Source organism: Homo sapiens, chromosome 22, assembly GCF_000001405.40.
Source record: "Homo sapiens chromosome 22, GRCh38.p14 Primary Assembly".
Lineage (NCBI taxonomy): Eukaryota > Metazoa > Chordata > Mammalia > Primates > Hominidae > Homo > Homo sapiens.
Genome location: NC_000022.11, coordinates 40045180 through 40061126, shown reverse-complemented (window position 1 = coordinate 40061126; position 15947 = coordinate 40045180). Strand labels below are relative to the sequence as shown.

The 15947-nt window shown below is 43.6% G+C and overlaps 1 protein-coding gene across 1 annotated transcript in view, besides 3 other annotated features; it reads right to left on the bottom strand.

Moving 5' to 3' along the window:
• TNRC6B (trinucleotide repeat containing adaptor 6B) overlaps positions 1 to 15947 on the bottom strand; it is a 290975-nt gene that overhangs the window by 274682 nt on the left and 346 nt on the right. The gene's annotated exons all lie outside the window — the stretch shown is intronic.
• Positions 14039 to 14257: a silencer, noted in NCBI's record as "fragment chr22:40442874-40443092 (GRCh37/hg19 assembly coordinates)". NCBI's record gives its function as "represses an EF-1alpha promoter that drives an FKBP-Casp9 reporter gene in an ReSE screen in K562 erythroleukemia cells {active_cell/tissue: K562}" and the evidence as "EXISTENCE:reporter gene assay evidence [ECO:0000049][PMID:32094911]".
• Positions 15544 to 15613: a silencer, noted in NCBI's record as "silent region_13767". NCBI's record gives its function as "represses an Ori minimal core promoter by ATAC-STARR-seq in GM12878 lymphoblastoid cells {active_cell/tissue: GM12878}" and the evidence as "EXISTENCE:reporter gene assay evidence [ECO:0000049][PMID:35858748]".
• Positions 15624 to 15843: a silencer, noted in NCBI's record as "silent region_13766". NCBI's record gives its function as "represses an Ori minimal core promoter by ATAC-STARR-seq in GM12878 lymphoblastoid cells {active_cell/tissue: GM12878}" and the evidence as "EXISTENCE:reporter gene assay evidence [ECO:0000049][PMID:35858748]".

The window sequence follows — 15947 nt, the reverse complement described above, 5'->3', positions numbered from 1 at the left end:
TACATTTTAAAGGATTCAGTTATACAAAGTGTACCAAAAAGAATTCAAACAGCATAACCAGAGGCTACTATCCTTGGAAAAGTCGGCTTGCAAAAAGGTTGGCTCTTGGGTGGCATCTGGGAATCTAAATTTCAGGATTGTTTCCACCATTCTCTAATTGATAAGGGTGGTTTACTGTGTCTAAACTCTACCTACCATGCGGTTCATGCAGAACACCTGTTTTCCTACTGGGAGCCTGAAATTTTGGTTCATGCTAGGTACCAAACTAACTCCTGATAAAAAGCCTGGATTCCTAGGCTCAGGCAAGCTTTCCTAGTAGACAACACTTCACACATATTGTTACAACTTGTTCCTGGGGGAATTAAGTGTGTCCTGTATGTTCTACTGGGAAAAGACTTTTGGAAGCTTGCACCTGGGCACCTGGCTTCTACCAGCACCTTTTCCCTTTTAATTTTGCACTGTATTTTTTCACTGAAATAAATCTTAGTCATGAGTATGACTATATGCTGGGCCCTGTGTGTTCTCCTAAGTAATCACTGAACCTAGGGATAGTCTTGGGGACCCTAGAAACACAAAGTCTATTCTTTGGTACAATAAAATTAAAGTAGAAATCAATAACAGAAAGATATGTAGAAACTTCCAAGTATTTGGAAATCAAATAACACTTCTAAATAATCCATAGGTTGGCTGGGCATGGTGGCTCATGCCCGTAATCCTAGCACTTTGGAAGACTAAGGTGGGCCAACATGGCGAAACCCTGTCGCTAATAAATTTATAAAAATTAGCCGGGTGTGGTGGCACACACCTGAACTCAGGAAGTGAAGGTTGCAGTGAGTGGAGATCGTGCCACTGCACTTTAGCCTGGGCAACAGAGTGAGACTTTTTGTCAAAAAAATAAAAAAATAATAAAAATAATAAAAAAAAAAGTCATGTGCATTTTTTATGTTAAAACTTTTTTTGCTAAATTAAAAAAAAAAAAAAAGAAAAAAAAAATGATGGCCGGGCACAGTGCCTCACGCCTGAAATCCCAGCACTTTTGGGAGGTCGAGGCGGGTGGATCACACGAGGCCAGGAGTTTGAGACCAGCCTGGCCAACACAGTGAAACCCCGTCCCATCTCTACTAAAAATACAAAACTTAGCTAGGCAATGGTGGTGTGTGCCTGTAGTACCAGCTACTCAGGAGGCTGAGGCAGGAGAATCGCTTGAACCTGGGAGGCGGAGGTTGCAGTGAGCCGAGACTGCACCAGTGCACTCCAGCCTGGCAACAGAGCGAGACTCCGTCTCGGGGGGAAAAAAAAAAAAAAAAAAAACCAAACTCTATCATGACCAATGGGGCTTATCCCAGGAATCCAGGGTTGTTTAATGTTCAAAAGTCAGTCAAAATAATTTACCATGTTAACAGACTAAAAAAGAAAAAACATATTTTAATATATTTTAAAAAGCACATCCAATGAAACAATCTCCATTCCTGATTAAAAACTCTCAGTAAACTAGGATTAAAAGAGAAATTCTGGAACCTGATAAAGTGCAACTATGAAAACGCACAGATCATACCACAGTTAGTGATACAAGACTAAATACTTTCTCCCTAAGACACAGGAGAAAAGCAAGAATGCCCACTCGTATCACTTCTGTTCAGCATGGTACTCGAAGTACTAGCCAGGACATTAAGGTATGAATTAGAACTCAAAGACTGGAAAGTAAATTTGTCTTTCTTTGTAAATGATATATTTGTTTAAAAAAACATCGAAATCTATAAAAATGCCATTAGAACTAATGAATGCAATTAGCAAAGTCTACGTAATTCATTATCATCACAATCATATCAGTAAGAACAAACTATATCCAAATGAAGGAGGCGTTACTTAAGAAAGGCTTTCAGGAAGACAAAGTTTCGAGAAGGCTTTTTGAGAGTAAGGGGGACAATGAATTGGCAGCCAGAAGCAGGGAGAAAATTTTACATAAGTCAAACCTTTATAGAGCATGGGGACAAAAAGAGAGAAAATAATATGGAAAACAGAGAAAAGATTGTACAGAACGCAAAGATTCAAAAGAAAGAAATGACAGTTGATAAATGGGAGCAGTAAACGAACTTGGCTGGAACAAAGGTGTTTGGATTTCACACAGTAAGGACAGGTTGCTAAAGAAAGGAAAAGAAAATAGTACGTAGGAAATGTTTTCTGGGGAGAAACTAGAAACAAGACAACTGACTAGAGAGCTATTTAAATAACCCAGAAATAGACCAAGGATGATTTAGATTCAGGATGGTGGCATGAACATAAAAATGAGAAGGTCAAAGTCCAAAGCCACAGAGAAAAGAAAAACTAAAGGATATGGCAATGTTTCCAGATTCAATGTGTCAGAATTTCAAGATTCAAGTACTGGGCAGGTGGGTTGCCAGCGACAGGGTATCCAACAGCATCACGCCTCTCCAGACGGAGGTGAAGTAGGGGCCCCTCTCCAGCCTCCAGTTACCTTTCTGAAAAGCACCCTGAATGATAAGCCCAAGGTCTGAAAAATAGGAGGTTAAAGCAAAGCAAGAGAAAATGACATGAAATACACATTTTTCAGTACAGTCAGTCAGTCTAGAGACTGTCTGCTTCCAAAGCTAACGTGCTGCATCGGTTGAGTCCCGGCTCTGGCCAGTTCAGGAAGCGCAGGCTGGCGCCACAATGTGCTAAAGCACATTGTGTCACATTGTGCTAAAGCACATTGTGCTAAAGCACATTGAGTCACAAGTTTTGGAGGACAGGTAGAGGGCCCCCTTTTTAAAGTTTTCAAACCATCCCTTACTGGCTTGAAATGTGATGTCTTTTACATCTTCATTCATTCTTCTTCTCTTTGTGATTTCTACCAAGAGCCTTTTTTACCGTTTATGTTTTGTTTTTGTTTTTTGGTGTTGTAAAAGTAGTATTTTCCCCTCTGAGCCTTTTGGCTACATACTGGGGTATGGGGCATAAAAAGATCTCCTCTTTCTGGAGCAGTCCACAGACCCACCTGCATGGTTTAAGCTGGAATCAGTAAGTATTGTGGCCTTTTGTTTAAGGCAATTGAGCCAAAATGCAAGATAAAACACTGTAAATTTTAAACATATTGGTGTAAAAATATAAAACTTGTATAGTAAAAAGAAGGTTGACAAAATTGACTAAAGAGTAGATGGTGAAATATTAACTTAAAATCTGTTGTCCATGGTACATCTAACAGGAAAGTCTTTATTTAGAAGGTCTACAGAGATAACATCTGAGTAAAACCTCTCCTCAGGAAAAGGATATTACTGAGCATGAGACACCATCAGCAGGATTTTCACAGGAGAAAGACATTTAGCTCCTCAGAGAGCAGCTGTTTCATCTTTTACTTTGGATTGCCTTCCTCCACATCAGAATCTTGTACCCAGCAAGTACCCAAGACATTTCTCTTGATATGCTGACCAGGGGGTCTCCAGGTTAGAAAGCCTGGTCCACTTCCAGTTTTTGAGGCTCGAGATATGTATATATATTTTTTTAAATAAAGACATGCCAAAACACCATTATGAAAATTCTGGGCCAGGCAGGGTGGCTCACGCCTGTAATCCCAGCACTTTGGGAGGCTGCGGATCACCTGAGGTCAGGAGTTTGAGACCAGCCTGACCAACATGGAGAAATCCTGTCTCTACTAAAAATACAAAATTAGCCGGGCGTGGTGGCACACGCCTGTGATCCCAGCTACTCGGGAGGCTGAGGCAGGAGAATCACTTGAACCCAGGAGGCGGAGGTTGCGACGAGCCGAGATGGTGCCATTGTACTCCAGCCTGGGCAACAAGAGCGAAACTCTGTCTCAAAAAAAAAAAAAAAAAACCTGGCATATTTTCAATGTACACATTTAATAAATCAACACCTTTAGGAAAAAAATTCAATGTAACTGTACTATTCACAAGAGGATTAATAAACATGTTCCCTTGTCATAAACCACAGATAGTGTTACCTGGTAAGAAGTTTAAAGGTATAATCAGTATCATCTTTCAATCCTGTGACTTTATCTCGACTGTTTACACCTACTATGTGCAAACCATTCTAGTGGGTGCCATGACAAAACAAAGTAGCATAAACTCATTTTGAGCTCAAGGTATCCAAGATGAGAACCCATGACGACTTCTTACTCTGTTGAGATACTACAAGGAACTTCCAATGAATATAGTCTACCTGTGCCCATGGGAGGAATCTGGTGGCCTTGCCCCATCAAATCTGCTACCATCTCTATTCAAGCAACTTCCATTTTTCTTTCTCCGCTGGGTGCTTCCTGTATATCTTTTAATAGATTATAGATTTTTCTTTCTTTTTTTTTTTTTTTTTGAGACAGGGTGTCACTCTGTCTCTCAGGCTGGAGTGTAGTGATGCAATCCTAGCTCACCGCAGCCTCCAACTCCTGGGCTCATGCAATCCTCCTGCCTCAGCCTTTTGAGTAGCTAGGACTACAGGCATGTGCCATCATGCTCAGTTGATGTTTAAAACATTTTTTGTAGAGATGGGGGTCTCACTATGTTGCTCAAGCTGGTCTCGAACTCCTGGCCTCAAGTGATCCTCTTACTCTGGCTTCCCAAAGTGCTGGGATTACAGGCATGAGCCACTGCACCCAGCCTGATTTTCTATCTTACTTAAAGGTGTTGCCTTCTCAACCTCGTCCTGCTTCCATTTTTCTCTGTCCTTTCTCTTCCAAACATCTTAAACTAAACTGCATTCATTACTACCATTCTCCCTATCATCACTTAGCTCCTTAGCCCTTTGTTATGTAGATCAAATACATACACAGAACTTGCAGAAATCGGCATTACCGTAAGTCAATTAACATCTTGTGAGTGTAATCAGCACTACCAGAGCATAATCACTTCTTCCCATTTGAAAAATATCAAGCTCTGAATATGCAAAGCTGAGAAACATTAGTTTAGCCAACAAGGTATGGACATCCTGCAACTGAAAGCAACTTAGCGGAAATAGAATGGAAGATGGCTAGAGATGGGGTGGATGGGGAAAGGAGACACTACTTAAGAGTAACAGGGAGAGAAAAATGGATAGGAGGAGACAGAAAAGGAAAGAGACATTGAAAACAAATAGGAGTAAATGAAGGAAAATGGGCTACATTTTTATCCAATTAATCTCCCTTTTTCAAATCTGGTTGAGAATTAAATTAGATTAATGTTAGCTCAGTGAACCACTTGGAGACTTGGAGATATGTAAAGACCTTCAAGCTGTAGGAACTGTCTTTCCCAGAACATATACCAGAGGCCCTTCTGGGTAGTCCTCTTTTCTGATTTCCTCTCTTTCACTGGTTCAGTGTCTGATCCATTTGAGATGGTATCAGCACTCACCTCAGGTGATCTAGAAGTCACTTCCTTTACACTCTCTGCTCCTACAGATAAGCTTAAATGAGTCACCACTTTCTAATTCCACCTAACATCATTTGCATGGTTATAGGTACACCACTGAAGCAAGTATATTAACTAGAAGTGACAAGTGCCGTTGTGGTTTATGATTATCTTCTCTGAATGGTACTCTATGCCTTTATGAATTCAAACATACAGATTCAGATCATTATTCTAAGGTCATTTCCTGTCCTAAACTGCAGTGGAGTAAGAGGCTGAGTCTGACATATCATGGTTCAACTGTAAGTCAGCTATTAGCCCTGTACCCTAATGCCAGCCTTGTAAAGCATACCGCTGTGCCGGTCATCTTCTCCACATACTAAAAACGCTCCCCCATGCCTCTACACAGGCTGTTCTCTCTGCCGGAAATGCCCTTTTCCTCCACAACTTAGTGTGAGTGTCACCTTCCCTGGGAAGGCTTTCTCAACCTCCCCATCGTGTTGATGACCTTCCTTTTCATCCCCGCAGCACCTCTTGTACTGTCTATTACAGCACTTATTACACTAAATGGCACTCATCTGTGTCCACATCTGTCTCACCCACCTGGCTGTGCATTCCTTGGGAACAAAGATCTCCTTTCGCCCCACCTCTGTAGTCCTGGCTCCTAGCACAGCATTCAGCATGTCTATGCATTCAAATGTTTAGTGAGAGCGTCATCATGTCAAGCCCAAGCATAATTTCTTTTCTTTTTTTGGAGACGGAGTCTTGTTCTGTCACCCAGGCTGGAGCTTAATGGTGCAATCTCAGCTCACTGCAACCTCTGCCTCCCGGGCTCAAGCAACCTTCCTGTATCAGCCTCCCGAGTAGCTGGGACTACTGGCGCGCACTACTACAACCAGCTAATTTTTTTTTTTTTTGTAGAGATGGGTTTCACCATGTCACCCAGGCTGGTCTCGAACTCCTGGACTCAAGTGACCTGCCTGCCTTGGCCTCCCAAAGTGCTGGCATTACATGCATGAGCCACCAAGCTTTGCCTAAAATGAGGTTTTTTAGAAATTCTATTTTAAATTCTCTTTCTTAACTTCATTTGAAAAAATATTTATTGAGGACCTACTATGTGCAACTCACAGTGCTAGATGTTGGTGACACAAATGTGAATAAAACAGAGTATTTTTATTCATGTAGCTATTTTCCAGAAGGGGAAATATAATATACAAATTAAATAATTATACAATTGATATCTTCTAATGTGGGGCGGGGTGATTAGGAAGTCATTAAAGAGGAGACACACACACTGAGCTCAGGATTGAAGAGGCATTAACTAAGGTTGGGCCTGCGGGCTTCCAGCTGTGAGAATAGTATGCTCAAGGAAGGGACCTTGGGTAGTGAAGAACACACATTTCCGGAACTTGAAGAGGGTCAGTATGGTGAGAGTACACTCAGCAAGGGGGAAGACAGTAGGAAAAGAGGCAGGGGACGCTGGCAGAAGCTTCACTGGGCAGTCAGTGAAAAAGGCAAGAACAAGAATTCAGGTTCTTATCAGGGTCTTTAGGCCTCACTGACAGTTTTGTTTTTGAGACAGGGTCTCACTCTGTCACCCACACTGGAGTGTGGTGGCGCAATCTCGGCTGACTGCAACCTCTGCCTCCAGGCTCAAGCTAGCCTCCCACCTCAGCCTCCTGAGTAGCTGGGACTACAGGCAGGCACCACCACGCCCAGCTAATTTTTGTATTTTTTGCAGAGACAGGGTTTTGCTATGTTGCCCAGGCTGGTCTTGACCTCCTGAGCTCAAGATATTCACCCACCTCAGCTTCCCAAAGTGCTGGGATTACAGGCACGAGCCTGTGCACCCAGTTATTAACAGTTTTAAGTAGGGGAGAAATATGATCAGATTTACACTTGCTTTTTAAGTAAATGTTTTAAATTAAGATATACACAGAACACATCTGTAGTTTTAAAAGATTATTCTCACTACAGTTTCAACAATTCTCTGAAGTAGAGAAGTTCCTACTTGCAAAAGAAAAAACTAAGACTCTGCAAAGCTAAGTAACTTACTTCAAGTTATTTATTTAACAAACATTTGAGTGTCTACGATATGACAGACACAGTACAGTATGTGCCTAGGGATGCAAAGATGACTACAATAGTCTCACTTAAGAAATTTGCAATCCAGCAGGAGAGACAGATTAAGAAACATGATATAATGTAGTCTATGTCAGAAATGAGTAAAGTCTAAGAGAACAGAGAGAAATTCAATCTTCCTAGGAAGAATTAACCATTTCACCTGTGTGTTAAAGGGGTATTTTTTTTTCCATACTGTAGTTTTTGAATTTTCAGTCATTCCTGCGCTTGGCACCCAGTATGCACTCAAGCAAATGTCAGCAATACAAATGAATCCAGGACTTTTGACTCCTAATTCAGAGACTCTCCAACTCTGCCCGAATTCTGGAAGACTTGCATTAATTACAATAATTATGGAACTATTTTGGAGCTCTACTTTTGAAGCTGCTTTCGGAGCCTGTTTATAAACCACAAAGAAAGTCAGTCTTATTAAAACTGTCAAACTTCATTAATGACCCAACCTGAAAATCCATAACAATATCTAAACATAGTTTTTTTTTTTTTTTTTTAAAGAAAATCTCCAAACACATCGAGTGGTATATGTTAAATACCTAAAGCTTTTAGTATGTCAGTCATACCTCAATAAGGTGGTTTGGGGGAAAAAGAAAGCACAAATCGACATTCAGAGGATGGTGAAATGCTCCCATGAAGACAACCAAGCAAATATACCATATACACCTTCGTAATTCATGATCTCTGTACTCAAAGGACTTACATTTCAGTTTCTAACTAGAAAGACAAAGCATAGCACATAAAAAGAATAAAAGAGAATAGAAGGTAACATTTGTTCATTTATTTAAAACATTTACACACTGCCTACTACTACACAACTGGTCAGAAACTGTTCTAGGGATACAAAGCGGGTAAGATAAATGCCTGCCTTCAAGAAACTCAGTCCTATGGGGAAGTCAACAATACACAGGCCAGACATGGTGGCTCACGCCTGTAATCCCAGCACTTTGGGAGGCTAAGGCAGGCAGATTGCTTGAGCCTGGGAGATCCAGACCAGCCTGGGCAACATAGTGAGACCTCATCTCTACAAAACATGAGCCAGGTGTGGAGGTGCGTGTCTGTAGTTCCAGCTGTTCAGGAGGCTGAGGTGGGAGGACTGCTTGAGCCCAGGAGATGGAGGTTGCAATGAGCCATGTTTATGCCACTGCACTCCGGCCTGGGTGACAGAGTAAGACCCTGCCTCAACAAAAAAAAAAAAAAAAAAAAAAAAAAATACAATACACAGCGTTGCTATTAAGCAGGTACACACAAATGAGAACACTGAGGCTGTGTACAGCTGCCATCAATTCTAATTCATCAGACACCGATTCTTATTGGTTCATGCTTTATCTGTTGTTAAATATTGTAATATTACCTCTGATTATAACGCAAATTGGTAAAGACCGTAAGTAATCACTATATGAAAAAAACAATGACACCAAAAAAATTGTTAAAAGTTTTCAGAGAATATGACGAGAACTTAAATTTTAATCTTAGGGTCCCCCTTTGATCTTGGGGTCCCCTTGTGTTTCTTGGCAAGGAAGGTTGGCACATTTGGATAAGGAAGCTGGTTCTAGGTGAGGGGAATAGTAGCCAAAAGACCAGTGGCTGGAAGTACCCAGGTATGGCCCTTCAACTATGTGGAGAGCATGGTTTAGAGTTGTGCTGTCCAACATGGTAGCCACTAGCCACATGTGGCTACTGAGCACTTGAAATGTGGTTACTCTGAACTGAGATGTCTATGAGCGAAAAATACACTCCAGATTTCAAAGGCTTAACTAGAAAAAAGAATGTAAAGTATCTCATTAATAATTTTTACCAATTACCTATTTAAATGTTAATATTTTGGATATACTGAAGTCAATAAAATGCTATAAAAATCAATTTCACCCCTTTCTACTTTTTTAATGTAGCTACTAGAAAATCTATACATATGTGGCTCATATTTGTGGCTTACATTCTATTTCTATTGGACAGTGCTAGTCCAGAAACTTTAAATAACAAGCTAAAGCATTTAAACCCTCTAGGCAATGAAACACCATTGAAGGCTTTCAAACTGTAGTGCCTGTGGTCGATTTGGGAGGGAGCAGGAAACATAAACAAAGCACTGTTTCAGGAAGATCAGTGTGGGGGCAATCTGTAGGGGTGAGACACTGGAGGCAGTTGTCAATGTCAACAGGCTGCAAAATGTCAAAGGGTAAGTAGGCTCAGCTGGAAAGTATACAACGTCTTTAGAAGCCCCATGCTGGGTGGAGGGAGGAGTAAGAAATCAAGAGCAGGTTGAAATACGGAAGAATAACAGCTGCAAGTGCTGACCCCAGCCTGGACAACCAAGGTGCAATACTTGTGGGACTTAGTGAGCTTAGCACAGTTTAGTTTAGATCTAGTCTGGCTTAGTGATAAGGGATTCCATGCAGAGGTACAATTCAGAACAGGATTGGTGTCCTCTTCAGCAATTTTGGAATCTATCTCACTGTGGCAAGACTTCCAACAGTGAGATCAAGTCCCAGAGGAGACACTGAGGACGTAGGCAAGGCTACCAGAAACTACAGGATAGGCTGGGTGCGGTGGCTCACGCCTGTAATCCCAGCACTTTGGGAGGCTGAGGCAGGTGGATCACAAGGTCAGGAGTCCAAGACCAGCCTGGCTAATATGGTGAAACCCCATCTTTACTAAAAATACAAAAATTAGCCAGGTGTGGTGGTGCGCACCTGTAGTCCTAGCTACTCGAGAGGCTGAGGCAGAAGAATTGCTTGAACCCAGGAGGCAGACGTTGCAGTGAGCCGAGATCACGCCACTACACTCCAGCCTGGGCAACAGAGCGAGACTCTGTCTCAAAAAAAAAAAAAACCCAAAAACAAAAAAACTACAGGACAGCAATAAATAACAAAAGCAAAAGCCCAGACTTACAACACAGCCTACAAATATTTACTGGAAGTCTGTTGTATGCCTGACACTTGGCCAGGCTCTGGAGATACACTGAGATTCAGGACCAAAACAGACATGGTCCTGAATCATGAATTGTGGTGACAGCTATGAAAAAATAACAGGAGCTCTGCCAGTCTTAACTGAGGGTGGATGGGGGTAGTGGGACGAGAGCATAAAGGAGGGCCTTTCTGAGGTGACAATTTAATCTGAACCTGAAGTTAGCTGGGTAAAAGCTAGTGGGGAGCAGAGCAAGGACAGCCCAAGCCAAGAGAGTGGTGCAGGTGTATACAAAAACAAAAGCCTTAAGGCCGGAAAAGGCTTGGGCAATTTGAGGAACTGAAAGAAGGACCTTGCAGTTAAGATGCTCAGAGAGGAGGATGGGGTGTAAAAGAAGTGAGAGAAGGTTGGGGAGGCCAGAACACACAGAGCCTCATAGGATAAAAAGTAAAATCCCAAACCGGCCTGAGTGCAATGGGAAGTCATAGAAGGGTTTTGACCACAAGGAAATGCTACAATCCTAAAGGGGTTCTAAGTGCTCCAACTACCCATGCTCCTCTCAGGTCGCTGGATCCGGGCTGGCTTGGTAGCAAAGGGGCAGCAGCCAGTATCGTAACTAAGTAGCAGGATTCCAGGTTTGAAATAACAGAGTTTATTATATGGCCCTCCAAATGCTCCAGGGTTGCAAACTTGAGAGGATGATGGCACCACTGAAAAACACTAATAATAACTATAATTATAAATTATAGAATAATAATTAATAGAAACTAACGATAATAGAAACTAATACTAATGGGAGGCATTACTTGACTTTCAACATACTGAGTACGAAGAAGTAGCAAAGAATGCCAGCCGGGCGCGGTGGCTCATGCCTGTAATCTCAGCACTTTGGGAGGCTGAGGTGGGCAGATCACCTGAGGTCAGGAGTTCCAGATCAGCCTGGCCAACATGGTGAAATGCTGTCTCTACTAATAATACAAAAATTAGCCAGATTTGGTGGTGTGCGCCTGCAATCCCAGCTACTTGGGAGGCTAAGGCAGGAGAATCACTTAAACCCGGAAGGCAGAAGTTGCAGCGAGCCAAAATCACACCACTGCACTCTAGCCTGGGCGACAGAGCGAGACTCCATCTCAAAAACAAAACAAAAAGAATGCCAGCAGGTAAATATGGATTTTGTTTTGGAGTATGGAAGAGAGGTGAGGCATGGATATGCAGGCTAGCATATACAGAGGTGACAGTTAAGTCTCATAAATAACACTTATGAAGATTAGAAAAAGAGAAAAATAAAACAATAAAAGGAGCCCTTAGTAATTGACCTTAGTGTTTATCTCCGGGATAGAAGTCAGGAAAGGAACGACGCCCCAAAAGGTAAGAAGGAGGACAGTACGATGTTAGAAAAACTTAAGAAAAGGCAGAGAGTTAAGAAAGCTGACTGGGCACGGTGGCTCATCCGTGTCCTAGCACTTTGGGAGGCTGAGGTGGGAGTTTGAGACCAGCCTGGCCAACATGGTGAAATCCCTAAGGTCGGGAGTTCGAGACCATCCTGGCTAACACAGTGACCGGCCAGGCTGGTTTTGAACTCCTGACCTCGTGATCCACCCGCCTCAGCCTCCCAAAGTGCTGGGATTACAGGTGTTAGCCACCGCGCCCAGCCAGCAGTGTATAAATGTTTTAAATAAATGAACAAATGTTACCTTCTATTCTCTTTGTACTAAAAATACAAAAATTAGCTGGGCGTGGTGATGCACGCCTATAATCCCAGCTACTTGGGAGGCTGAGGCAGGAGAATCGCTTGAACCCAGTGAAGTTGGGAGGGGGGAGCGGGGCAGAGGTTGTGGTGAGCCGAGATCATGCCACTTCACTCCAGCCTGGGCGACAGAGCGAAACTCTGTCAGAAAGACAAGAAAGATGGATGGATGGATAGAAGGAAGGAAGGAAGGAAGGAAAAAGAAAAGAGAAAGCCGTGATACAAAGGGATGGGACAAGGGAGTTTTTTTTGGAGTGATGGAACCGTTCTGATCCTGACTGTGTACATTCATGTGTGAACATTCACAGAACTGTAAACACACATAAAAAGTCAATATTACTGTATGTTATTTTTAAAAAAATGTTTAAATGGATAGGAATTGTCAAAAAGGATTGACTGCTGCAGGGAGACAGAAAAGGATGAAACCTGAAGAGAGAGTTTTGGAAATTTTTTTTTTTTTTTTTTTGAGACGGAGCCTCGCTCTGTTGCCCAGGCTGGAGTGCAGTGGCGCGATCTCAGGTCACTGCAGCCTCCGCCTCCTTGGTTCAAGCAATTCTCCTGCGTCAGGCTCCCGAGTAACTGGGACTACAGGCATGCGCCGCCACACCCGGCTAATTTTTTTGTATTTTTAGTAGAGACGGGGTTTCACCATATTGGCCAGAATGGTCTTGATCTCCTGACCTCGTGATCCACCTGACTCGGCCTCCCAAAAGTGCTGGTATTACAGGCGTGAGCCACCACGCCCGGCCAATGTGGGAAATTTACCCACTAGGTAATTGGCAACCTTGGAACAATCTGGCTGCAAAAGTTTAAAGAATGACTGTGTAGTGAAGACGTGAAGAAAGGGAAGCAGCCAGCATAGACTGCTCTTTCAGAACTCTGGAAGTGAGAGGAACAGAAGCTCAAACATGATAGTAGAACGGAGAGATCCAGCAAACTGACAGAATTTTCCAAGACCCCATGAGTTGCTCCATTTAAGTATTTTTTCAAAACGCGCATTTTGCACATGAACTAGTCATTTTCTTATTGTCCTGTTAAACTAAAACTGCACAATTCAACGACTAAAATGAATCCGAAATCTACACTTTGATTCTGCTCCTTAGAATCAAATGTCAGTCAACTAACGTTTTCTGTGTTCCCACTATGTGCCAAGCACTGTGCTGGATAGAAAAATGAGTAACAGTCCCTGGAAGAGCACACAATTTATCACAATACACAATAGCCCGGGACTGGAGCAGCAATCTGCACAAAGGGCTCTGAAAGCCTTGAACTCTTGAGCTAAAATGTATTTTTACAATCTTTATAAAAATTAAACAGGGAAGAAATAAGATGTACTTTTGCAAAAATGTTATTAATTTCTAAAAGCCAAGAATGAGCTTAATGTAAACTTTTTTTTTTTCTTGGAGACTGAATTTCGCTCTTGTTGCCCAGATTGGAGTGCAATGGCACAATCTCGGCTCACTGCAACCTCCGCCTCCCGGGTTCAAGCGATTCTCCTGCCTCGGTTTCCTAAGTAGCTGGGATTACAGGCGCCCACCACCACGCCCGGCTAATTTTTTGTATTTTTAGTAGAGACGGGGTTTCACCATGTTGGCCACGCTGGTCTCCAACTCCTGACCTCAAGTGATCCACCTGCCTCGGTCTCCCAAAGTGCTGGGATTACAGGCGTGAGCCATCGCGCCCAGCCTAATTTAAATTCTTAAGTTAGGTATGGGCAACCTAATCATCAGTGGTATTCTCCTTTTCTATTCCTCTCTACTTTTCAGTGCCCTTTCTCCCTCTGATAATTCAAGGAGGAGGCAAAATGAAACACGCGTAGGCTCTCAAACCAGACAGACGTTGAGACTAAACCTATGCCCTGGAACTGCATAGCTGTGTGGCTCCTGGAGATCCCTTTTCTCATTCATAGTATAGTAACGATACCTACCCCACAGGCTTGGGCTAAGAATTAGGGGAAAAGATGTCAAAAGGCTGGCATAGAGTAAGCATACAATAAATGTTAGCTAATATTATTACTGCCATTTCAACAAGTGGTATTGCTCCGACTTGAAAACATTTTTAAGGCCGGGCGCGGTGGCTCACGCCTGTAATCCCAGCACTTTGGGAGGCCGAGGCGGGCGGATCATGAAGTCAGGAGATCGAGACCATCCTGGCTAACATGGTGAAACGCCGTCTCTACTAAAAATACAAAAAAATTAGCCGGGCGTGGTGGCGGGCGCCTGTAGTCCCAGCTACTCGGGAGGCTGAGGCAGGAGAATGGTGTGAACCCGGGAGGCGGAGCTTGCAGTGAGCCGAGATTGTGCCACTACACTCCAGCCTGGCACAATCTTTGAGACTCTGTCTCAAAAAAAAAAAAAAAAATTGAGACTCTGTCTCAAAAAAAAAAAAAAAAATTTAAGTGCTTCCATTTGAATGAGGGAAATCTTTTTCAAGGGCATGACATTTATATGTTACCACAGAAAAGCAGCTACGGAATTCCTATCAGAAACCACTCTGCTCAAATAATGGTGTTTGGGATAAGCCCTTAATAATAGTAAAGAACTAAGAAAATATAAAAGTATTATTATCATCATCACCACGTCCCACGTGGGACAAGCCAGTCTGATTTGTATTCTGGATATTGGTGAGTGTGCCTTCGTGCAAGTGGGCACTACACAGCCCTCCCACTACCTGCCTACAGCAATGCTGCGCGCTGTAGAGACAATGCGCTAAAAGTTCCGCTCTATAAGAGGCATTTACACAACACTACCCAAAACACATCTGTACTTTCGAAGCCAAGATCACTGATGATTCTCCAAATCAAGAGAAACCTTATACTACTGAAATCTCCCACAGCGAAGAGAGAAGTAACCTCTATTAGTAAACTTTCACAAAATGCTAATGTCTATCATTTCTACACACTTTATATATATACTTAACTGTTGGTGGGGGCACTAATGTTTCATTCACTGATTCTTGGCTTGTTTTATTCACTATGAAGAAATATCTTTGACCAATTTTGTATAATTTTGCTTAAATTATAATACAAATGACCAACTTGAAATTCACCATCCTCTCGTTCAATCTCTAGCACTGATGCTAAAAAGTAATAAAACAGCCAAAACACATGAGAAAGCACGAACTTAAAGTCCCAGGCTGGTAACCTGAATTCCAAAGAATTCAGAATAAGCTGGTCCTTAAGGCGCTTGACTAGAGGTGACCGTTACTGGACGTCTTTAACCACTACAGCGTGTCTCGCTGGATCGGATGTCCAGCCTCTACAGCCGAATAAACCGGTAGTCTGGAACTGAAGGGCACCGGACCACGGGAAGGTGTAAAAACACTCTCCGTGCCCCTCGTTTCCTTGTCCAGAGTCTGAGCCGCCTCCCCAAGTGGCCGCACACGCAGGGCCCTGGCGAGGGGTGTGGAACGCATTCACCTTGTCACGCAGGTCCTGCACACAGGCCGGGACGCTGCGCAGGGACCCGAGGATCCGAGGCCTGACGCCTCCCTCTGCCACCGCCAGCCAGGGGCGGACGCGCCTCCGCGGGCCGGGAAGGTGTCCCCGCGCCGAGGCCCCCCGGAGACGGGAAGCGAACTCGACGGCCGGGCCAGCCCACCCGGAAGCCCTCCCCCAGCTCACACCTGCTGGCGCGTGACGCCCGGAGCCGCGCGCGCGCCCGCCAGTGCCTGCCCGGCCGTTCGGGGCGCCCCGGCCCGCGCGCCGGACGTCGCCCCGAGTCCCTCCCCGCCCCTCGACTCAAATCTCGGCGGCGCCCGCTCCCGCGGAGCGCGCGCTCAGCGCCGCCGGCCGCACCAGCCCCGCGCGCGCTCACGCCCCCTCCCCG